Source organism: Homo sapiens, chromosome 5 (genome assembly GCF_000001405.40).
Source record: "Homo sapiens chromosome 5, GRCh38.p14 Primary Assembly".
In the NCBI taxonomy this organism is placed as follows: domain Eukaryota; kingdom Metazoa; phylum Chordata; class Mammalia; order Primates; family Hominidae; genus Homo; species Homo sapiens.
Window position 1 is genome coordinate 167117381 of NC_000005.10, and position 26147 is coordinate 167143527.

Here is a 26147-nt window from a genome sequence, read left to right on the forward strand (position 1 = left end):
TAGTCCCAGCTACTTGGGAGGCTGAGGCAGGAGAATGGCGTGAACCCGGGAGGTGGAGCTTGCAGTGAGCCAAGATCGCACCCCTGCACTCCAGCCTGGGCGACAGAGCGAGACTCCATCTCAAAAAAAAATAATAATAAATAAAAAGAAGCCTAACCATAAAAACATAGAGGTGAACATGATAAAAGCCAAACTCCCTGGTGCTTGTGGAAATTAGAAAGGATGGATAGGTCTGGTGTTTAGACCTTACCTCTTAGGATCACAAAGATGATAGACTCTTTAGAGGTCATCACCTACAGCTTTTAAAGCAGGTTTTCTCAACACCAGCATTATTACCATTGTAAGGCAGGTAATTCTTTGTTGTGGGGGAGTAGCTCATGGCTTATAGGATGTTTGGCAGCATTCATGGACTCTACCCACTAGATGTCAGGATCATCCCCTCCCCCTCCCCCACCCAGTTGTGAATACATGTCCAAAACTGTCGAATGTCCCCATGAGACAAAAATCAACCCTGGTTGAGAACCATAGTTTTAGAAGTTAGGCAACCAAGGAAGTCTTGAGAGGTTAAATGAGACATCCACACCATGGGCAAAGGAAACACCGCAGTCCTAATCCTAGGTTTAAGCCTCTATACACTTCTTTCTACTATCCAATATTACTTCTCTGATTTTAAAAATGTGTTTTCTTTTATATGACTAAGTGAGCCTCCAGTATAGTTGCTGTTATTTTATCAAGACTATTCATAGTTATTCATAGTATTCTTCCAGTTTGTAGGCTATTTGATATTCTATACATTTTATTGCATGAAAAGAAAGCCCTTTCTATATTAGATTAAAAATGAAGTTTCTCTTGGAGTTGAAAGAGGTATGTTTTGATGCCTAAAACTGACAGAGGAGAGAGAGAAACTCAACAATCTTTCTCTTAGAGACGGACTTAGAGATGAATTATGCTTTCTTTACCCAGCTTGCACTGAAATAGAAAAATATATCTGTACACAAAGAATTCTATAAAAAATGCTTGCCAAGTCCAGAAGACACCCCTCTAAAGTGGCAGAGAACAGAATGATCTCGTAGGGATAGTCAAGTGTAATTTCAGATAATTCTATATCAGGTTTCTGAGAACCCTTTTGGAAAGCTCAGTTATATATTAGTGCTGGGTCTCAAAGAAATGGAAAATTAGTATTTTCTTTCTCAGCCTACAATTTATTGATCAAAGAAAACTTATTTTTGGCTTCGTAGTGTTGCAACAATCTGAAGCAAATTAATAAAGAAAGAGAGTTGCTTCTTGGGGAGATAACCTTGATGACTGTAATTTTTCTCATGAGTATCAATGCTGCTTATGTTCCAATATATCACAAGTGAAGGGGAAGGGAGGGGAGCAGATATTGCCTAGCAAGGGTAGTACGGAGTTCTGTGTATCTTGCTTTGTCTTCTCCCACCCTTTCTTGGGGAGTGAGTCCTCGTCCATCCCCTGTTTATTCTTAAGAAGGACTTCAGGAAATGGTATTTATAAGGAAGGCTTTTTGATTGTGAAGGCAGAAAAAGCTGACAAAGACTTGGCTAGTTCTAATAATTGGTTCTACCTAATACAGCAATCAGAGGATTCAACCAGGGATTGTTCCTGTGTCTATACACGTATGCTTCCATTCTAAGAACCACCTGGGTCACATCCCCACTTCACTCCCTGTGAACTGTGTCACCCTGGACAAGTTACTTGGTCCCTTTCTGCCTCAGTTTCCTCATCTATAAAAATGATGACATTAGTAGTACTTATTTCAAATACAGATACAATTAGTTAATATTACTAAAGTATGTAAAACATTGCCTGCAACATAACTTTGAAAGTGTTTTATGATAAAAATCACACATTTAAACTTCAGGCTGAGTGCATAATAGGTAGTGAGCACTTTCTACGTGGTGGTGATTTAACGCAAGGTGAAAGAAAAAGTTCAGAGATGGGCAGACCCTCAAAACAGGAAATAGGTCACATTTTAAAAATTTACTAGTAATCCGCATTTAGTCCATTTTGTGCTGCTCTAATCAAACACCTGAGATTGGATAATATATAAAAAACATAAATTTACTTCTCACAGTTCTGGAGGCGGAAAAGTCTAGGATCAAAGTGCCAGGAGGTTCAGTTGTTTGGTGAGGGCTGCATCCTCTGCAGGGGAGGAGTGCTCCACTTGGTGGAAGATGGAAGGGCCAACCCTGACTGATGCTGTAATGTGTGAAGCCTCTTCTATAAGGGCCCTAATCATACTCCTGAGGGGAGGTGACCTCATGACCCAAGCACTTATTAAAGGCCCCACCTCTTAATATCATCACATTGTCTATTATTTTGACACCTGAATTTCGGAGGTGACACCTTGAAACCATAGCAACCTGCTTTGTGGATGGCCACTGTGCTGGTCGTGGAGGAGGCAGAGATGAATCACCCAGCATGTCTGTTTTCTAAGAACCGTGTCTGGTGGAAGAGAGAATGTGAAATATGATACAAGGTAATGTGACAAGAAATGTGATCAGTGTAGACATAGGGTATTTTGTTTGCATGGAAGGACCTTCATCCCAACCTGGGAATGGGGCTTGGAGATAGAGAGGATCTTCAGGGGAAGAGATGTGGGAGTCGAGCCTCGTAGGCAAAGCTAAACCAAATAGGGTGGGATAGAGAACACTGAACAGAGAGAAAGAGAAGTGAGCCATGGAGGGCAGGTAGGCTAGGCAGGATGGTGAAGAGGAAGGTACATGCCATAGATGCCCAGGTTAAGAAGGACTCTGCAAATCAGGTTAAATAGTGTAGGTGATTCCTTGAAAGGGAAAGAAAGCCATTGAAAGATTTTTGGTAGGGGAGTGATATGATTGGAAAGGTAGAAATGTTATTTTATAAACTGCAGTCTTGTGTGTATGGAGGAAAAATTAGGAGAAGGCCAAACTAGAAAAAGCTAAATAAAAGGCCAAACTAGCAAAGCTCCACGAGAGAAGTGAGGCTGGAAACAATGAGGAGGCTGTGGGAGAGGAGGGGAAGTGGGAATTAATATGGAAATTCTTAATCTGAATCGAGGAAAATCACAAAAGTGAAGCTTGCTGTTCCTCAAAATGTTGGAAAATCTTATCTAGCCTGTCTAGAAATTCAGAAGAGGAAAATAAGTAATTAGTCATCAGGAGTTGTCTTTCTGAGACATTCATGCCATCTTATGGTCTTATGATTTAGATTCCGTGGCAGTACCTCTTGCTGCCCTCTCTCTAGGTCTGATGCATGGACCTAATATTTGGGCACTTTTGATTTAACTTGAGGAACTTTCAATGTGTTATCTTTGGTTCTGGTCTTCAGTAACAGATAGTATAGCAGATCCTGAAAAGGCCACTAGAGATCATCTAATGAAGTGGAAGCAGAAAAGTTTTTATCTTCAATGCCATCACTAAACTCTTAAGATTGGCTGCTTGGAGTGTTGTGTTAATAAACAATGTGAGGTCCATCTGGCTCTGTGGGAAAGAGTGACAACTAAAGATGCCCATCATGGATGCAGCAGGGCAGAGCAGAAGTACTTATGCCTCATGCATCCATTTCTTACCATGAAGAATCCACACTCATGGCATTAATGAGCTAAAGTCAAAGATCTAGTTAGGAGTGCAGCTGCAAAATCAAACAAACAAAACAACAACGTGACTTAACTCTCGGTGGCAAGATACTTCATTAATTTCTTCAAGAAATGTTTGCCTAGGAGAAAGATGTGTCCAGGTTGCTTTGTGTGTGTGTTTTTGTTTTTAGTGCTAGATTTTTAATTTTTAACAACACAGATGGGGCCCCTGCTTTCATGGAGATTCTATTCCAGTGGGAATTGGCAGTAACTAAATGAATAAGTAAGATCATATCCAATGGCAGCTGAAGATTATGAAAGCAGTAAAAGCAGGGTGTGGTGATGGGAAACAAATAAAACCTGGCAGTGGGGTGGCCAGTTAGGGGAATCGCTTCAGAAAAGAGGACTTTTTAGCTGAACTTGAATGAGAAGAAAGAGCCAGTTAGGCCAAGATCTGACAGAAGAATGCACCAGGCTGTGTGAGTGGCAGGTGCAAAGACCCTAAAGCTAAAAGTAGCTTGAGTGTTTGAGGAATAGAAAGAAGGCCTGCAGGGCAAGGGCACTGTGAGTGAGAGAAACAGTAGTACCTGAGAAGATGGGAGAGTTGGGCACAGGCCAAATTATGTTTCCCCATCTCACTGGGAAGGGAGTCTTAGGGTCTTGCTCAGTGGCCCCAGGCCGTCAAAAGTGAGGGGGCTAGAACCTCAGTCCCCAGGTTCTTAGCACAGTGCTTTTGAAAGTCTCTAGGAGTACATAGCCCTTTCTTTCTTTTTATAGGAAACTCCTTGATTATAACTGACAAGATCAAACAGCTGATAGGATCAAAAACTTTCCTCTGTATAGATTAGAGTGGAAAATAGAAACCTGGAATAAGTGTGTTTCCTTCAAGTGACCTTAGTAAAACATTCATGGGGTGCTGACAAGTACTTTGAATTGATACAATGGGGAACACAGTTTAAATACTTTGATATATTGCAAGCAGCTTCTAGAGAATCTCAAAAAAGATTGCGAAGCTCATTTAAATCTTGTACCAACCCTGTGAGAATTGGTAGGAAATAGCTATAGCTATTTTTTTTCCAGATGGATAAAATGAGGCAGAAAGATTAAATTACTTGAGTTCAGATTTCTGCCCGTAGTATTGCATTCAACCTAATGGATATATTGCACACACCTTAATTTACAAATAAATGCACAGTTGAAATCTAAACCCTGGTAAAGCATCCCTAGAACCTTTGATTTTTGAGACCTAAGGTCCCAATTTGTGTATTTACCTCACTAATTACAAGTAAAAAATAAAATGGAGTGAATCTCTTGAGATTCGTGTGCTTGAACAATACACCGAGCCTATTGAAATTTATTTCATTTGCCAATTTTTCCCTGCATATTTCCTGCTAGGGTTTACAGTAGCCAAGTTGCAGGCTGCCCCATTTGATATTTGCATATATTCCATTAACTCTATTGTCCTTTTCCTTCTCTTCCTCCCTCTCTCTGACCCCCACCCTCCCCGGGCTGACTTACCTGTTCTGTGCATTCTGTTTCTTGTAGGCTGTGCTCTCAAATGACAGCTTATGAACCTAATAAATCCAGGCAAATGTGTAAATGGATGTTAATGTTCCATGTTCTCCTTCCACATAGCATGTGTACATTTTATTGGTGACCTTTGATGGTTAATACCTAACTCAAATGAATGACTAATGGTAGAATTAGGAAGCCAAGTAGATTTGGAGGTCAGCATCGTAGCTAATTGAAAGTAATACATTTAGGGGGAGTAAGGGACTTTTGATGATCCCCAAATCATTAAGATTTGCCTATTTCTAGAGGCAGCTTTCATCCTGAAAGGTGGGTTCACATTATACAGGACTTCATGGACCTTAAATGGTGTTTCTGATGTGGAGCTATAAAGGTGTGAGCTGTACCTGTAATGTTTCTCAATGAGGCAAATTCACAAATTGATATTGATGTGGAGAGTAACACCTGGAGAAGTAAACTGCAGGAAAAATACGATTATCATCTTCAGAATTCACTTCTTCTTCAGCATCATAGACAATATTTCTCTTTTTGGGCTGGGTGCAGTGGCTCATACCTGTAATCCCGGCACTTTGGGAGGCCAAGGCGAGTGGATCACCTGGGATCAGGAGTTCAAGGCCAGCCTGGACAACATGGCGAAACCCCATCTCTACTAAAAATACAAAAAAAAAAAAAAAAATTAGCCAGGCGTGGTGCCAGGAGCCTGTAATCCAAGCTACTCAGGAGGCTGAGGCATGAGAAGCGCTTGAACCCGAGGCAGAGGCAGCGGCAGAGGTTGCGGTGAGCCAAGATCGTGCCACTGCAGTGCAGCCTGGGGCTTAGAGCAATAGAGCAAGACTCTGTCTCAAAAAATAAACAAACAAAAGAAAACAACAAAACCACACACACACGGATAACATTTGTCTTTCATTTGTCTTTTTGGTTTGAGTCTTTTGTTTGCTACCATATTCTTTCTATGAACAGTCAGACTCTGGTGATTTTCCTCTCTTCTGTTGACCCATGATCTTAAAGGCCTATTTCAAGTTGTGATAAACCTGTGATATAACTCAGTAAGGGAGGAGTCTAGAATAAATGAACCTTCATAAACTTTTGCAGTGTATCCTCTGGTTTATACCACGGGGTAGGATATGTTTAGGAAAACCCACTCTAAAGGGATGCCTCATATTCTACTTTAAAAATATACCTATTTAACTCAGCTCCAAAAATATTGCATTTCATAATCTCCCAGTGCAATTTTTTCCTCCTCAAAAGTAGATAAATGCATCTGAAATTCTGCTTCTATATAAAGGTTTATACAGGTATATGCAGAAAGGAAATGATTCTGCCAAAAGTACAGAAAAAGAAACAAGAAAAATTATATTTATGTCTAGAGCAAGTTATACCACCTTGCAGCACTTTTAACATTGGCAATACATTTTCAATTTTTATGAAAAAGGTGGATCTTTAAAGAACTTCTAACTCTAAATCAATCTGATTTGAGCCCTGAATGAGTAAAAGTACAATTAAAAAATTCAATCAATATAAATATGCATTTCTGCATCTTCCTGTATGACACTGACCAGTAGTGTCTATATGGAGAATATTTCCATATGCTACCACTGTCATTGCGTTCAAGTGAGGTGGGTTTCCACTGTGTGATCTTGGGGTCTTTACTTTTTTGCGGGACTTCAGATTCCTCATCCATAAATCAATGGGTTAGGTAAAAGTTTATTTAAGGGTACTTCTCAGCTTTAAAATTCTAGAATTCTAAAAAATAAAAACAGAAACCATAAAAGTTTTTGTAAAGACAGAAGGAGATTTTTTCAATGTATTATTCCTGGTCCATCTTCCTAATATTAAACTGTGACTCCCACAGCAATTTGTTGGTGTTGTTTTATTTTATGTTCATCTTGAGATGTAATTATTTATGGATTCATCTTATTCCCTTTCCTAGATTGCAGATTAAAATTGATATAAAATACAACCTTATATAAAACCTTGCCCATTGTAGGCATTCAATATACAACTCTACTGCATGCTTGCCTCCCATGTAATATTCTTCTGTGGCTTATAAAGATCTTATAAAAATGAGTGTCATTTATTTATTTTTAACTTTCAATACACTATTCGCTCTTTCCTTTGGTAAAACTCTCCTGAACATCTGTTATAAAGAGAGCTCTGTGCTAGATGCTATGAGGGTTATAATGGTTCCATCTGCTTATCCCTGAGAGCTTGTAATCTAGTAAGGTGGTAGTACATACACACCATGCAAATGAGGGTCATCAATGTCAGGAGCCTCAACAATGTCTAGCAATTACCAGTGTTCAATAAATAGTTGGTTTCTCCATTGTCTAAAAATATAATTTCTATTATTATTATTATTTTCATTATTTGTAAGATCTAAGATAGCTAAATGTGAGGAGCAGCAGCAACGTTCTACAGAGACTTCATCATGGGCATCACAGTTTGGTTAAAACTGGCTGGTGGTGCTTTGAAAAATACGTTATTTCCCCACCGTGGAACTAGGTATGTGTACAGCCTCTAGACATGTTAAGTGATGTTCCTGCAGTATCAATGATAGCATCGCCTAAGAAGTTGTTAGAAATGCCAAGTTCTTTTGGGTCATATCAGAAAAGAGTCCAGCAAACTGTGTTTAAACAAGCCCCTTGAATGATTCTGATGTGTGTTAAAGTCTGAGATGTCAGTAGAGACATGGAGAATGTCCCTGGGAGGAATGTGTTACAGTGAGAGACCCAAAGGCCAAAAGCGATTGAAGGCAGAGGGATTTCAGAACTCTGCTCACTCTCACAGGGCTTACAGCCAATGGAAGAAGCAAGTAATTATTCAGATTAAGTACACGATCAGTAACTTTGATGCACTCTGCAAATGCAAAGTGCAGGGTGCATCATGGTCTGTACCAGGAAGAACTGAGGGAGTCTAAGGTTCAGGCAAGATTCACTAAAGAATGAGTTGGAGCGGAATTTTGTATCTTTGATGTTATGTAGGTGCCAAGAGGAGACCCTGAATCTGTTTGATTCTAATAGACCCTTATAGAGCCTATTTAACAAAATGTTTTTGCACAGTTCTTTGTCCCTGTACATTTCTGGGATTAGATGCTGTGTCCTTTGATTTCTCCTAAGCTGATTCAATACTTTTGCTGATATATATTCTATACATACATATTCTATACATAGATATATACACACGCATATACAGAAGTATCCATTGATGACTGTAATCGTCCGTATGCAGCTTGCTTTGTACATTTGGGAGACAACATAATTTGAGTGCCAAGTCTGTCCTAGACCCTTCCCTAGGTCTCTTATACAACTTCTAATCCAATTCTCACAACATTTCTCAGTATAATTGTTAAGTCCACTTATGGTAACTAAAATGGCTCAGCAAGATTAACACTTGCTGCAGGTCACACAGCTGGTTAGTAACAGAATATTCTAAAATACTTTTTCCCAACAACTGAGGGTAGAGTTCTGGGGATAAAGTATGTTTCTTATTAATAGTATATGTACACAAAGTGAAGCTTTGCCTCATAAAGGTTTACTCATCCTAATCTGTATTTCTGCTTAGATGTCCACAGACTTTTGATGACTTAAAGGGAAGATAGTAGGTGCCATATTTCACTGGGTTTGAAGCAACCCTCAAAATGTCATACAGATATTCAGAGAAGCTGGGAATTCAAACTTCTGTAGATATAAGAACTTGAGCCATCCCTACAATAAGGCAAACCAGGACATAGATATGAGGATAGAGCGTGGGCTTAGGGAGGGGAGATATGAATAGATGATTGGGCATATTTCAGGGAGACAGCCACTGAGGAAGAAGGAGGTGTCTCAGCCAGCTGGCACCACACCAGTCCCACATCTTCCCTTCCCAGCTTCCAAATTCTCCCTCATTTCTTGGCAAATGGTTGAGATGTCCTTTCTATTTTCATATATTTCCTTCAGCTTGACCTTTTGTGACTTATTTTCTCCCTCTAAATGTCCTTGGTGTTAAATAATATAAATAAAGCTAGAGAAAAACACATGGCATGTATTTCCCCGATTCTAATCTTTCCTTGTTTATTTCACATGGAAGAATTATAAATGAGAAAAAACAAACAAAAAGAACTCACATTCATTTCTGATAGCAAGAATGCTAATGGCCTAGTAATTAATAAAAATAAACACAACTGTAATGACATCACCAGATAGATCTGCTTGGAATATTTTGCAATTTTTTTTGTTTAATTTCTAAGCTAAACCGTATCCATTTTATTTTAGTTTAAAAATTATATAGAGGAAAACCCCAAAGATTACCATTTTAAATTGCAATTGTACAGTTAAGAAAGACTAGGCAGCCACAATTTCCTGGGATGTTGGGCTTACTAAGGTGAGTTTATAAGATCAACTTTTGTGAATGGTTGGGCTTTAGACTGTGGTATTAATATTTCCACTTATATTTTCATGCACAGTTATTTGACGATCTCTAAAATTGGTACATTTGTAGCAGAGCCACAAATTCACTAAGCATAGAAGTGAATTCACAGGTGCATTTTTTTTTTTTTCACCTGCCTTTATACTTCCTTGAAAACCATACTAGAACCTAAGGCTTCTCACACAGGGTCACATGAGGCCACCAGAAAGACATCTTTGGCCAGGAAAGATGAATAATTTTGTCTTAGGCCAAGAATAAGAATTTGGTTAGTTTAGCAGAAGCAGAAATATTTCCCAAATTTGTAACTTCTATAAAAACAGTCCCTTTTAAAAACGAATCTCTCAGTGAGAATTAGGGGGTTTCAAAATGAGCAAAAGCAATTGTCTATAGGGGAGCTAGAAAGCAATTTAGACGCAGCTTTCCCAACACTAATAGCTTTGCTGAAAACAGCACTGCTTTTATTCACTTTCTTTAATATGCAGGTTATTAATACATTTTCAAATTAATAGTTTGGAAATTTTCCTACCCTTCTAACTATGAGTCAGTAGTACATCCCCACCTGCAAGAGTGACTTGATGCATTCATTTTACTACAATGAAAGTGTCATTTAGAAAGCCATTAAAACATAACCTTAAAATTAACATCGTGACCCTACAAGGAAACATTAAATGGGTTGAAAAGTAATGGTCTTGAAAAGGAAAGCCCTGCCTTTAGAATACAAGCTTTTTTTTTTTTTTAAAAAAAAAAAAGGAAAAGGAAAAAAAAAAGCCACTAATGAATAATTACTTTAATGAGCCTCTGGTCTCAGAGCTGCTTACGTTCATTGGCATTAATGCTGTGAAATGTTGGATGCTGTGAACACATTAAAATTTTCATTTTAGTGCTTTTTTGTTCAACAAAGCAATGAAATATCCCAAATTCCTCCATGAGGTGCCTCTTTGGCAGTTGACCTTGTCATCAAAATACTAATGCTGTCCAGGGGATCCTTCTAGCTACCACCTGGCAGAGTGCCCTGAAACACTAATAGGACCACAGATCTACTTCAGCCCCTCCAGTGTCTCAACCCCCTCACCCTGTGGCCCCACTGCCCAGGGTCTTTCTCTATAGAAGGTATTTCAGCAAAGCAGTAACAAAGAAGGTTCCAGTGTATGATGCTGAGTACAAACATTGCTTCTGTAACCTGGGGCAAATTGCATAGCCTTCCTGTGCCTGCGAATCCTTATATGTTAAATGAGCAAAAACGCAGCGCTCTTCTAAGGAGTTGCTTTGAGGAGTGAATGAAATGATCTAGGTAAAAATGCTTGGTTCAGGGCTATCCTTAATAAAAATGAAAAGGTAGCTATTAATAGATTAAAAATGACATTTCTCAGCATGGCCTACAAAGTCCGCCATGAACCGACCTCAGTTTACTATGGAAGGTTATTTCTCACCATCACCTTTCCACCTCTTGCCACTTCCTTTATGATCTGGCCCAGGGGAGTCTCAAACTTGATTGTGCATCAGAAACGCCCTAGAGGGCTTGTTAAAACTCAGACGGCTGATTCAGTTGGAATGAGGACAGGGCTCAGAAGTTTACATTTTCAACAAGTTCACAGGTGATATGGATGCTGCTGGCCCACAGATCTCACTTTGGGAACCACCAGTCTAGTGTAGACTTTCATTAAAAAAAAAAAAAAGCCCCTGTTCCCTCTTTCACCTGAAAAGTTAATACCAAAGCTCTACTTATGGACACTTCACTGAAGCCTTTGTGAAGTCCTTCAGCCAGAATCAGCTATTCTGTGTTTTGCCTTCCAATCACAGTTAGGGTGCAGCCTATTCACTTCTACAGCTCTAATCACCTGGCATTGTAATTGTTCCGTTTGCTTGTTGCATGCCCATCTAATGACCTGGACGGTACACACTTCCAGAACAGAGATCATGTTACATTCATTCTTGTGTTATTAGTGTCCTATGTGTGCCCTGGCACTAGGTAGCTACTAAACTCTACTTAAAGAAATAAACAACCAAACATACACCCCATACCCTTTGTTCGTATCCTTGCCTTTGCAAAAGCACTTTTCTCCTTCAGAAATGCAGTTATTTACTGCCTCTGATAGTGAGTTCTGGTCTGCTGTCCACGACCCCTGTGTTGGTATTTTTTAAGTCAGGAACACCTTCCCCAGCTTCCTGGAATAGGCAGTTCTTTCCCTAGGCACTTGGTGTTCATATATTTTCCCCTTCATTTGACTGAGATTTTTAGGGCTGTACTTATGTCAGAATTGATCCCAGTGCCCCCAGAACCCAGGAAGTGGCTGGAACTTAGGAGACTCTTGGGAAATGTGTGTGGCGTGCTGGGTGAGCATGCTGGAGGCCGGGCAGACTGGTCTGGGAATCTGACAGAATTTATTGCTGGTGTCCCGGCTTGCCACTCCTTTCCATGGGCCTTTTCCAAAACGACTCCCAGAATCCTAATTCCCAGCTACTGTGGAGGCCATATGAGAGATAGGCAGTGCAATTAGAGAGCGGCCACCATAGCTTAAGCAAGGTGTGATGAAACCTTAAATTAAGCAACAGCCTGAGAGCAAAATGGAAAAGCCAGCTGGAGTAATCATGGAGGAAGGGACCCTCCAAATTGACCAACTTAGAATACTGATCTTCAGGCTCTGGCCTGAAAGGGACCTGTGTTTGAATTCGAGCCTCTCCTCTGATCTTGCACTTAAGCATTCTAAGCCTTTGTTTCCTTACCTGTCAAATGGGAATAATAAATTACTATTGGCGTGAAATGAGGTGATGCATGGGAAAATACTTAGCACAGTGCTTGGAATATAGAGAGTGTGCAAGAAAATAGAGCCATATAGGAAAACCGTTAAACTGTCAATGCTTAATGGACTCTGGCTGTGATTTTTTTCCCTTGACCCACAAAGATTTACAGAATATTTGGGTAAGAAAAAAATGACCACTCCCAAAGAGTGGGATTAGGCTTTGATTATGCATCGTCTAATATTCATCACCAACAAAATAATCCTGTGCATGTTTTAATGTAGCTGGAGTTCATAAAAGGCAGTACCAGGGCTGAGGTTCTGAGGGAAAAATCCTGTTCCATAACCATGGAGCAGGTGGGGAGGTGGAGGCCAAGAATTAGTTGAAATATGGGAATAAAGGGAAAGCTATGGGATTTTGAATTTTCTTGCATGTTGGGTTGTGTGTGTATCTTTGTATATTGCTATAGGCATTTATCTTTTAAGGATATAATGGCATAAACTAAATTCAATGGCTTGGGCACAACTAATAATTTAGTTATTTGAACTCAATGTACAAAGAGTAACACTATGTAAAGAATAATACAAAAATTTTCATGATTTTCTCTGGACATAGAAATACAGATGAGTGTTTGCGCTTTGATAATTTGAAAATAGTGCTGCTAATGGAGGGATTTCCTGAGAGTCTCAGTTTGGATGGGCAAAAATTATAATCACTAACACATATAGTGTTGACTATGTGTCAGGCCTACTTCTAAGCGCTTTTACATTTATTAAGCCCTGTAATCCTCAGAACAATAGCATGAGGCAGGTACTCTTATGATTCTTACATTGTGGATAACTGAGTCACAAAGAGGTTGGAGCATTCACTCAACGTCCCACATGAAACTGAAGTCATATGGCTTGCAAGTCCACGCTCTCAAGCCTAAAGTCACTGGCAGTCCTGCTTCAGTTTCCCATCCGAAGAGCCCTGCCATGTCCGCCAACACAGCCAGAGTTGGCCATGTGGGTCCACACCCAGGCCCCCTAACACATGGATCCCCTCCACTGCTGTCTAAGTAGTGACTGGGATTCAGAAAATTCCCTCCAATGTCTGTTGTGAATTTCCACTGCCACCCTCCTTGGGGTCTCACACATTCCAAATGCTAGTCCCATCCTTTTATTTACTTAGACACATAGGATTTGTCACTTGAAATGATCTTTTAATTGTACTTTTTCCTCTGCCTTCTTTCCAGGGCTTTGCAGCCAGTGTTAAATGCTTTTTTTTTTTTTTTTTTTTTTTTAAAAAAAAAAAAGAATGCTTTCCTTCTGGTGGAATAGGTTAGCCTGTGTGTTGGTTAGCTGCTGCATTTTGAACTTCCCACTTGATAACTGACAGCCTGTAATTAAGCATAACTTGAACTCTGACCACATCTCCATGTACTTTTATAGCCTGTCACCAAATTTCTGTTGAATGTTTTATGTAAAAATGGCACACAACGAAACGCTTCCTGGCTTAGCAATATCTCATCATGGTTAGGTTAAAACATTCTCTGATGGGTTGGAGACCTGGAAATGTTCTCACCATGGTACAAACATTTTTATTTTTTCCTGAAAAACCAGTTTCTGTATAATACATGGATGACTTATTTTCTTTAGGGATGCAGAAACTCAAATCAGAGTATAAAAGGTGAGGGGAACTGCATTTATTGAAGTATCTAATATGTGCCAGGCCTTTGGCAAAGTGTTTCCCTGACTGTAGGACCTGGTGAGGAATTTGCTACCTGTCCAGATTGATATTCCCGATTGAGTGCCTGTGTCCTAATCCCTTTGATGGAGCCTAGGGCTTTGACGGAGGACATGTCTCAGATTCCACTGGGACACCTAGGCTCCAGTCTCTGTTGTACTATACTGTAGGAAAGGGTGAAAGGCCAGCCAGCTGCTTCCTTAGGGGAACCCCTTTCTAGTTAATGGACACTACAGAGCTAGCATCCATCAATAGCATTTTCAGAGTTCTCAACCAATAGATAAATAAAAAGAAGGTGAGGAATAGGAGAGCAAAATGTCACCCCATTTTTACTAATAAAATTGATATTAGAAAATGGAAAAATGTACTCTCCTAGGCACAAGCAGAATTGGACTCCCATAGAAATGCATTAGGAGGAGGAAGTATTAAACCCTTCTCTTTGGTGTTTTTTATTTGTTTGTTTGTTTGTTTTGTTTTGTTTTTCTGAGACGGAGTCTTACTCTGTCACCCAGGCTGGAGTGCAATGGTGCGATCTCAGCTCACTGCAACCTCCACCTCCCAGGTTCAAGCAATTCTCCTGCCTCAGCCTCCTGAGTAGCTAGGATTACAGGCGTGTGCCACCATGCCCGGATAATTTTTGTATTTTTAGTGGAGACGGGGTTTCACCATGTTGGCCAGGCTGGTCTCCAACTCCTGACCTTGTGATCCACCTGCCTCAGCCTCCCAAAGTGCTGGGATTACAGGTGTGAGCCACCATGCCTGGCCCTCTTTGGTATTTTTAATTTTTGTTTTTGTTGTTTTTGCTGCTGCTTTGCTTTTTTAGTGATATATAACATAAAAAGCTAAGTCAAAAATCTCATACACGTCTATAAAATTTTATGTATGCGTACACCTATGTAACCACTACCTAGATGTCTCAGCTCTCCAGCATCACATAGACTCTCTCCCAAAGGTGACCCCTATTCTGACCTCCATCACCATGCAACATTTCGGAAAGGCCCTTCAAAATATCATGATCTAGAGAAACACGGTGGCATTTGTGCATCCTGTGAGAAACTTCTGAGGGAGAGAGAGAGTGAGATGGGGCTGTGGTTGAGCATTTTTTCCTTTTAAATTTGCCAAGCAGATTTGCCCTCTTCCTTCCCCCTGAGAAGAAATGAGAGAGTCATCTAGAATGGCCAGGCATGTTACGCAAATAAATCACCCTTCACTTGGGAGGCACTATCAGGAAGGCGGAAGAAGTCCTCCCCAATCCCCTGCATTTGGCATGTGACCCCCTGAGTGGTAGACAATGGTCTAACAAGGTGCTCAAAATATCATAGTGTTAACATGACACATCTTCCATGAACATCAATTTTACTCAGTAAGTTCGGTGAAATATTATTTTAATAGTAACACAAATATGGAGATATTTATGGAACAGAATATAAAGTTCACATGAATTTTTAAAGCACAACATGATACTTTAAAGCTCTTTCAGGCTTGCTCTGGGCTGCTTTGGGCTAAGCCCCCAGGTCCCTCAGGGGTAGATGTTCACTCCTCTCTGCCTAGGGTAACTTCAGTGGAAGTGTGGAAGCTCTCTTAGGACACTGAATGTGTCATACAAAACCTTTATTAATGTACCAGCATTAACTTGGCAATGTTAGCAGATTGAAAAGCAAGAAGACAGAGATAGTAAATCAGAGAGACAGTCATCACAGGGACGTGTGGCCTAGGAGCCACTCACACAGCACAAGGCCAAATGGATAGGCTGACCAAAGAGCAGTAAAGGGGGAAGAAGGGAGGGAAAATGAGAGAGAGAGAAACCGTAAAGGCTAAAGACAGAGAGTGGTTAAGATAAGGAGGGAAGGAGGAAGGATGGGAGGTTAGTATTGAGGCCGACACACAGATCCTTGTTCATCTCTTACTTTTATGATCCGGGGAGCCGTGCCACACAGCCCCAGCCAGCTCTGTCCTGATGCTCTCTGAGTGGGGTATGTCTGCCTTGGAATTTTGTTCACAGACAGGCATTGCTCAGTCTTGCCCCTGGCAGTTTGTGCATGCTTGGTTCGTCATATCTGACCACTCCATTAAAGAATAGAATAGAATAGAGTAGAATTCTGATCCTCTTATGTAGGCCTTGCTTCCAAAAGCAGAAACTCAAATACCTGTGGAGTTAGGCAGATAGAAAAGGTGTGTTGCTGACAGGTATTAATTATAGAGAATGCAAGGGATTGTAGTAAACTTGTAGGCGGGTGCCTTGTTTAAAGGCACTCAAACTTGGAAAAAAAAAAAAAAAAGCAAAAAAGAATGGGCTGGCTAAAGCCAAAATCCCTTTCCTGCTGGATTTGGTTTGCAGGGCCTTTGTTTCGTAGGCTTGCCACCCTCAGCAGACTGAATTTTCTACTTGTGGTCTCAACTTACACTTGTGTCATTATATTCCCCTAATATTCCAGTGGAAGTTGTGCTCTTAATGTCATGCTTGGGGCGAAAAAAAAAAAGGAAAAAAGAAAATCAAGGCCCTGAAATTAACTAATTTTCATAGGGCCACAAAATTTGTAAAGTTAACATCAAATTTGAACTAAAGTCTTTTTTCACTTCAATAGTTTTAAATTTGACATCTACTTCAGAGCTTCCAAAACCTCTATAGAGTGTTCACAGCAGACCACAGAGGTAGAGAGCTATGATCTTCTGCAGAAATGTAGTTGGCAAAACATTTATCCATAGAATAGTCATCAAAGATAATAGTGCTATTTAACAAAGATAACAGTGACAACTTTGCTATTTTAAATAACATGTTTCAAAAGAAACAGCAGCAAAACTGGGATTATTAAAAGTCAAAAAAAGAAACAGTTATTGATTTGGAAAAAAATAATTGGTTTAATAGCAAAAACATTTTCATATGAAACTTAAAAAGAAACTGTCAGTTGATGTGGTCAAAGACTCATTAGTAGCCGCATATTGGACAGCTTTTTCACTAACTATTAACATGGCGACATCACTTTATACAATGAATTTTGATTTTTTTGGCGTGTGTGTAAAATTCAATAGAACATTGAAAGGATAAAAGATAAAAATTAGTGAAGGTGAATGACTTCTCTAACTAGGCGATTGTTTGTAGGATTCATTATTGGCAGTAGATTGTTACAACATACACTCGTTACATTCTAGTTCTTGTTTATTTTTATGAGAGGTTGGTCCTGAATGTTGATTTCAGTCGGCAAGAAGAAAGTTTGCAAAATGCCTGGCAAAGTGGAATTAGACGCTGAGCCTGGTTTGGTCGGTTTTGCATATTTCCTTTATTTAGAAGTTAGAGACCTACCATTATTCAGCTTTCTCTGACCCATTTTTCAACGCTGTTTTATTGGACAAACACAGTTCTCGTTGGACAGAGCCATTACCAGTTTGGCTGAAGAAAGTATTATCTTAGAACATATTTTCCCTTCTGGTTCCAGTTTTTTGGTAGCTAGAATTTAAGCATAATGGTATAACAAATAACCACAGAGGTCTTAGTAATGGCTTTAAAACACCCACACAAAAAATTACCTCTCTCCTGAATATAAAGTCACAGAGGAAACATTGTTGTACTCTCACACTTGTGAAAAATTCTATTGTTAACGATGGTATATTAAGGCCTTAGCCTTATTCATTAATACAAAATACAGCAGAGTACATTTTGAAGTGTGTGCGGTGAATTGCATACACAGTGTACATTATCGTCATCAGAGCTGTGCTGGGGGAATTTAGCTAAAACTGTTTAGAGGCACCCCATAATAGTTGCCTGTAATTGTTTCAAAATTGGTTTTCTGGGGTTTAGAGCTCTGTTTTTATTATTGTTGTTATTTATTAATCTCATTCTATGACTGTCACAACTGATCTTAGTTTTGCTAGCACTTTCAAAATAGGAAACATATACAATTTTATTTCATCAAATAATTTCAGTACTACACTTCACCTTTAAGTGAATTGCGCCCCGAAACATTTTAAAGCTACTAACAGAGCTTGTTAAATTTGAAATAGAATTATAGGTCCATTGAGAGCAAATGTTTGCCAATAAATAGGAAATTTTGTTCTAGCTCAGTTATCAAAGTCCTTTCTTCTTCCATTTTTTGTGAATCTCTACATTCTTGGCTCTTAAAAAACAAAAAGTGGCGTGTATTGGCCGGGTGCAGTGGCTCACGCCTGTAATCCCAGCACTTTGGGAGGCTGAGGTGGGCAGATGACAAGGTCAGGAGATCGAGACCATCCTGGCTAACACCGTGAAACACCGTCTCTACTAAAAATACAAAAAATTAGCCAGGTATGGGTGGCGCGCACCTGTAGTCCCAGCTACTCAGGAGGCTGAGGCAGGAGACTCACTTGAACCCAGGCGGAGGTTGCAGTGAGCCAAGGCCGAGGTTGCAGTGAGCCGAGATTGCGCAACTGCACTCCAGCATGGGCAACAGAGCGAGACTCCATCTCAAAAAAAAAATAGTGGCGTCTATTTTGACAATTCTTACAGAAGCATATTCTTGCAGAACCATATAGTGATCTTGGTTATCTGTCCTGGTTGATTGAAAGTAGTATAAACAACAAGGTAAAGAAATTGATTTTATTTCCAGTAGTACCTAGGTACATAAGGATTCACCGTTTTTAATGGGACACATAACAAAGTAGCTTACAACTCCATATCCCACCCCACTTATTAGTATATTACACAAATATGTACAATTTCTAAGCCTCACATTTGAGAGAGGATGATCATTTTTAAATTGATTACATGCATTTTGTATTTTAAAACTTTGGCATAGCCAAGTCTTTTGTAAATTTAGTTCTTTATGCACCTATGTAAATATTTTCCATGTCTGCATACCAACCCAGCTGGATTATTATTTTTTGTCTTGTGGTTCTATTCTCACTTTCTCCTCATTGTGGTCTGAAACGTATAGGCTGAATGAATCAACAAATTGCTATCGATGCTCCCATCCTCAGCTTGATTCTAAGACAGTGAGTCCCACCAGTTTTCAGTTCTGAGTCTCTCCCAGGCATTGATGCTAATAGAATAAATAAGAAGTAATGGCAATGCCACCAGGTTGGTTTATCAGCACTGGTTGTGAATAAACCAGTGGAAGAAATAACAGGGGAACACAATATTGAGAAACTCTCAAAGCTGTAGACCTGTCAATTCCTTTTGCTCATCCTTTGTTGCTTATGCACATCCAAATTTCTTTCCAGACCAGCCTTTGGGATGGAGCTAATTAAATTACATTTTGATCCACCCCTATTTCTTCTTTATTTCTATATTGCTTTTCTCACTGTAATGTCACTCAAATGAGAAAGAATTTCTGCTACTAAAGTGACCAAGAGTGGTGCATGCTAAGTGCAGCCTTAGAGAGTTCTTCTTCCATCTCATCAAATTCCAGATGAATTCTTGGCCCACCCTAATCTCATAATGGACATGTGATATTCCATGTATCATATGATAATGGACATATGATACATCTCATATTGTATCTTTTATCCAAGGGTGTTGAATATTTTATATGTTTCTCTAAATTTTCTGACTGTATTAGTCTATTCAGGCTGCTGTAACACAAAACCATAGACTAGGTGGTTTAAACAACATAAATTTATTTCTCACAGTTCTAGAGGCTGGGAAGTCCAAGAACAAGGTGCTGGCAGATTGGATTCCCCGTGAGGGCTTTCTTCCTGGCTTGAAGTTGGCTGCTTTCCTGCTGAGACTTCTCATGGCAGAGACTGAGGGTGATATCTCCCTCTCTTCTTATTTTTACAAAATCACTAATCCCTTTATTAGGGTTCTACCAACATGACCTCCTCTAATCCTCATTTCTTCCCAAAGGTTCAAATATTATCACATTGGGGGATAGGGCTCAATATATAAATTTAGACAGTGGGGAAGCAATTCAGTCTCTTACACTGACCTCCTCTATCTTCTTTGTCTTAACTAACCTTATCTCTTCCCCTTGATCTCTTTCTTAGTATATTTACTAAAATCAGACTCACTTTTTTAAACTTATGATACATTTCATAAGAAATTTTATATCAGCACTGCATAAATAAAAGGTGAAACCATAAAATAAAAATATGAAAAAAAGGTTGCGAATGCACCTTTTTTCCAGCTCTCATGTGCCACACTTAGGGAATGCTATTGAAGAAACAAAACATGGGGAGGCTCTAAATTCGGGAATCTCCCCAGGTGTCCCAGATGTTCCTCTACTGATGGAGCTTGAGAGTTGGGTTAAGCCATGAGTTTTTCTGTATGACTATACTACTGATCTTAATCTACCTTAGAATATATCAAGAGTAGGGGAAGTGAGGAATAATTGCAGCTCATACTAACTCCATCCCTTTTCCTTTCTGAATGCAGACTCATAGTTGTGAGTAATATGTATTTGTTTCTTAATGTGAGTTATATTGGCTACTGGCTTGTTAACTTTAATTGGTGGAACTGTGATCATTTAGGCTATTAACAGAAACTAGTCATGTGTTTTCAGGAAAACTGGTATAAATTAGAATCTTTCATTAAAGACCAATCAGCCATTCTCACATTTCAAAATTTGACACCATTGCTTTCTTGATGGGGTAGCAAACTGACCAGAAAATTCATCTAATCCGTTTTCTAAGGGTGAGAGTCAAGAAAATAAAGTCTATCTATATTAATGGCTTAAAATATTTATATTACCAATTCTGGCATAACCAGTTCAAGAGTAAGATTATGGAGTGATTTAGTCAATGTTGCTTGAAAGGTAGGCACAGGGAAGCAGCCGCTGAGGCTGTTCACTACTGTCTGTTCAAATCTCTCATGTTTGCTTTCAAAGAAAACAATCAAACAAGTGTTTGCATCTTTTTAGAAAATAATCAAACAAGTGTTTACCGATGAAATAATCAAAGAGGAATCTAGCTGTAGATAAAATAGCATATCTTTCTTTTTAAGAGCAGGATATAGCAGTTAAAGTGTAATAAGAAGATCATGAATATGTTTAAAATGGACTCAGAGCAAACTTCTTAATGAAGCTTAGGAATGACCCAGAGCTAGAGTAATGGACAGTGAATTCAATGACTTCATGGAAGTGACAGGACACCTACATAAAAGGCAACATAAAAGGCAACATAGTTGCAAGAGCTTTGAAATAGTAGTAGACTAATCTCTTAGATTCTAAATTTGGTCTGTCGCTTACAAACTCTGATCTTGGCCAATGCATTGAACTTTACCTAGCCTCAGTTTTTCATCTATAAAGTGGGTATAATGATGACAATTGCTTAACTAATCTTTGTTTTGTTCTTATTTTTATTGATTTATTTTTTGAGACGGAGTTTTGCTCTTGTCGCCCAGGCCACAGTGCAGTGGCATGATCTTGGCTCACTGCAACCTCCGCCTCCTGGGTTCAAGCGATTCTCTTGCCTCAGCCTCCCAAGTAGCTGGGATTACAGGCACCTGCCACCATGCCTGGCTAATTTTTGTGTTTTTAGTAGAGACAGCGTTTCACCATGTTGGCCAGGCTGGTCTCAAACTCCTGACCTTAGGTGATCCACCCACCTCAGCCTCTCAAAGTGCTGGGATTACAGGCATGAGTCACAGCGCCTGGCCTGTTTTACTAATCTTATATGGTTTCTGGGAAAGACAGATGAGATATTCTGTGTGACTGATTGTGTTTTGAATATTTGACATTGTTAATTTATATACCCATGTAAGGGCTAGTTACTATCATTCCTTTTTTGTTACAATGATTGTTTGGCAAGACCCAGCCAGTCAAAGACACAGACTCATTTTCTTGGTCACAATTGCCACATCATTGAAGTAATATCAGGTAAGTAGAAGTTAGTGCATGGGTCTCGTCCAAGAACTGTACACGTATGGCCAAATTTCAATGATCCTGCACGTTTCTTTTCCTTTTATCACTTCTGCCTTATGCAGTCTGCCTTGAACTACTTACGTGTCAACATTTCCTTCACTGATACATAGAAGAAGGCAATGAGAATTAAAATGGATAATTTTCCATCTCATAGTTGTTTTGGAAAGAAAGGTTTATGGAGTACATTTTGTATGTGTGAAAATCTGTTGTTTTGTGATCTATATTCCCTTAAATTGTATGACACATAGATTCATATTTTGGGCGTAAGACCAAATGTCAAAAAGAATTTAGGGCATAAAACTCTAAACTGCAAACAAATTCTTAAACCTCTGGACATAAGACCTTCCTTGTTTGCCTATAATGGTCTTGGTAAAATAAATTGTAGAAGACTTTCTGACATTTATTTTTATAATGTAAACATTTTTCCTTAGCAAAGTCAATCGTTAGCTAATGGTTGTGTGTGTATTTGTCATACAGAAAATTTTACTACAATGCTCTATGCAATTCATATATGTATAATTTATCTGTCACTTCCATAATCCACAAAGATTTAATGAAACTGATAAAATGAACACGTGCCAGAAGATACAAATATGAAAAAAATAAGATTCAGTACTAGGAAAATGTAAATAAGACTAAAAAGTCAAAACCAAGCGTTGTAATGACTTCAGATGTGCCGTACATGCTTCATGACAGTTGGTTCTGTGTTACTATTATTGGTTGGGGAGAAAAATGCTAGTCATTTTGACATATATTTTTATATTTCAGTCTAGCATTAGCATCATGAAAAGAGTTTTACTCTTTCCTTTTTGCAGATGATGAGATTTCATAATGTAGAGGTCAAGAGATTTGCCTAAAGTTACTCAACTAAAACGTGGCAAAATTCTAATTTGAACACAATTCTAATTCCAATGCTGAGTTTGGCATTTGACACACTATCTGATTACTGTTTTTTACTTTAAAAAAAATTTAGAAAATTTATTTGGATACATAGTAGGTATATATATTTATGGGGTACATGAGATATTTTGACATAGGCATGCAATGTGAAATAAGCACATTATGGAGATTGGGGTAGCCATCCCTTCAAGCAGTTATCCCTTGAATAATAAAGAAGCCAATTGCATTCTTTCAGTTATTTAAAAATTAAGTTCTTGACTATAATCACCCTATTGTGCTATCAAATAGTAGGTCTTATTCATTCACTCATTTTTTTGTACTCATTAACCATCCTGAATATCTGATTACTCTTACTGGTTTGTTATTCACCTTTTTTACTTCTCAGCTAATACCTGCCGCTCACAACCAGGCCTCCCTTACACAGCTTGAAATTCTTTGAGTGTTTAGAAGCTGCTAATGAATTATTTCATATTAATAAAATCTCAGATTTTTCCTGAAACTGACATAATGCTGAACTGTATTTAGCTGGAGAATATCTAAGAGTCTTGTAGTAAAACAAATACGTTTTAGGTAGGATAGGGGTGAGCGCAATACACTTGGTGGCAGAACTGTCTTTAGGGTATTATAAATCAGAATGACTGTCCCCAGCTCTGCTTTCTGATTCTCTCAGATTCTGGTGGCTGATGGGCAAGGCTTCACAAGATGAGAGAAGGATGTGTACACAGGCAATGGGGAATTCTCATTAAAATATTTATTATCAACTAGGCTTAATAAAGACCAAGAACAAACACTTAGAAGTATCATGCAATCTCTATACTACCATTAAAACCAGGTGACTCATAGAGGGTCCTGAGGCAGTGCTGGGGTATAGAAACCTAGCAGCATTTAAAATAAATAAGCCAATAAACCTTGCGTATTTACGTGGGGTTATATGTTCTGTTTGCCTTCTGCCCCTGTCAGTTTCTATGGAGTGCAGTTTGCGCATTTTTCAGTTGATTCAGACTGTCTTTGGAACTTGTATCAACCAGATTTTACCCATGTGGAAATGTGATTAGGAGGGAAGGGGGACCACACACTGCGATTCGCTTCATGCATACGCAGCTCTATTTTTATTGTATATTAGTCAATGGAAATTAATTGCTAATTATCCAAACATTTCTGTGATAATATTTCAAGCTCTCTTGTAGCAGATGTGGCCTAAACTATATTTGGAAGAGAGTAGATGGTATTATCTTTCTTGATGGAAATGATTGTGTAGGGCTTTAATATTTTTTTCACCATTTTTTATTTTAGAAAGAAAAAATGACTATCATTCTTTGACAACATTTGTTAAATATTCATACTGACCAGGGTAATTATGCACTGAGTATATTAGCAAACATATAACTCTGTCAACTTTAAGAATTTGGGAATGAAATTAAACAGGTTGTGTATAATATATTCAGTTATATGCTGGTACAGACATATAGATTGTTTAAATAACCATCACCACATTTCATTTGTATTCATTGCCAGTGACAGACTTCCCTCATTTTGGGACTCTCATAATGAATTATTCTTTTTTATTGCATTAGGTGTCTTTCCTTCAATGTTTGAACATTGCTTTTTCATTCCCCCTTTATGAATGCTAATAATATACTGGGTAGAGCACTGGCTATTTTTAGTTATTCAGCATTTCTTTATATTTATACTCTGAACAAACTTGAGGGAGTTTAGCTCTGATTAAAACAGATAATTTTCTCTTTTTAAAAAAGAATAATGTGGGACTGATACATAGCAAGGACAAAAGGAATTTGATGGGCACAGTGTCAAAGCTTAATTGTGTCAATAATTATTTGTGTATTAGTGCCAAGTTTTTAATGAGGAGTAGTCACTTGTGTGTAATCATTATCAATGACAAGTAGTTAAAATATCTTCATGAAGTGGCAAACTCGGAGGGGGGGGATGAAACCATATTAACATTGCCTACAGTTCTTTACATACTAGCACATCTGAAATCTATGAGTAGAGTTAATATTAAAAAACGGAAAAAGCTGCAAGAATGTCGCTATGTGTGTGTAGATACGTGTGTTCATATAAGATTTGTTTCCATGCTGTGAACATGTGTTGTTTGTTTTGGGGTTGCAGTCTAACCTTGCTAAAGTCTTTTTAAAGGAAAGACTCTGCCAACTTGCTCACTAAGCTGTCACTCCTGCCCAGAGACCTAGACCTGTTTAGGTACATCCTCATTTTCCATGTTAAGATAATGGCACTTCTTTTTTCATATTTGTGCTTCCAAGTCATTGAGTCTCATCATCCACTATCCTGAGTGCTGTTGTTCTACTTTATTCTACATCCTGCCACTTTCCAGGTGGCAAGCTCTCAACTTTTATCCATATATATATAAATAATAAATATAAATAAAATAAAGACTAAGAACAAACACATAGAAGTATCATTCAATCTCTCTCTATGTATATGCAATCTCAATATATATATATTGAGACGGAGTCTCACTCTTTCACCCAGGCTGGAGTGCAGTGGCACGATCTCGGCTCACTGCAGCCTCCTCCACTCGGGTTCAAGTGATTCTCCTGCCTCAGCCTATGGAGTAGCTGGGATTACAGGCACGCACCACTATGCCCAGCTAATTTTTTGTATTTTTAGTAGAGACGGGGTTTCACCATGTTGGCCAGGTTGGTCTCAAACTCCTGACTTCGTGATCCGTCCACCTTGGACTCCCAAAGTGCTGAGATTACAGGCATGAGCCATTTCTCCCAGCCTTATTCATATTTTTAAGCCAGCGAATCTGAGTGGCCCTCACTGCTAGTCCTATAGAAGAGTGAGGAATTAACAGGAGCCCTGAAGCATCTGCGGGAACATTGAGTTTGGCAGTAGCCTAAATACCTGTTTTCTATCTCTACAATGTGTGATATAAAATGTAAGCTTTAGTAGTCACATGGCAGAAGTCTGGACACTAGTCCACATAAGTATTGCCCACACTGTCCATTTGCTTGGTGTCCTTGTAAATGTTGTTATCTGCATCATCTAGCCTCAAATTGTGAATTAGGGCAATCCAAATCTGTGCAGTCCTGTTGTGTTTACAGGCATGGAAATGAACTTTTATTTACTGATGACCACAATGAGGCTTCGATATGACCATGAATACGGGTAATTGAGACAATAGCTATAAAATGGTTTGCTTGGCAAGAATGTCCACACAGAAACACAAATTATGGATTTTTCTAATTGTGTTCGCCTTTACCCAGAATTCACAATTAGCAGTAGTGGGGATCATTAATAGGTTTTCTATGCTTTTACCACCATTCGTTGGGATGCCTGTATTTTATCTTCTTTATTATAGTTTCATTCATTCTGATCTTACCTTTGTGTATGGTGTTTTCTGGAACTGGAAATCTGTTATCTCATGTATTGTGGTGTTATAAGAAAGATTTTTTCCC

At 38.9% G+C, this 26147-nt stretch overlaps 1 protein-coding gene across 9 annotated transcripts in view; it reads left to right on the forward strand.

The window, feature by feature from the left end:
* Positions 1-26147, forward strand: part of TENM2 (teneurin transmembrane protein 2) — a 1285129-nt gene that overhangs the window by 138352 nt on the left and 1120630 nt on the right. The window lies entirely within an intron of this gene.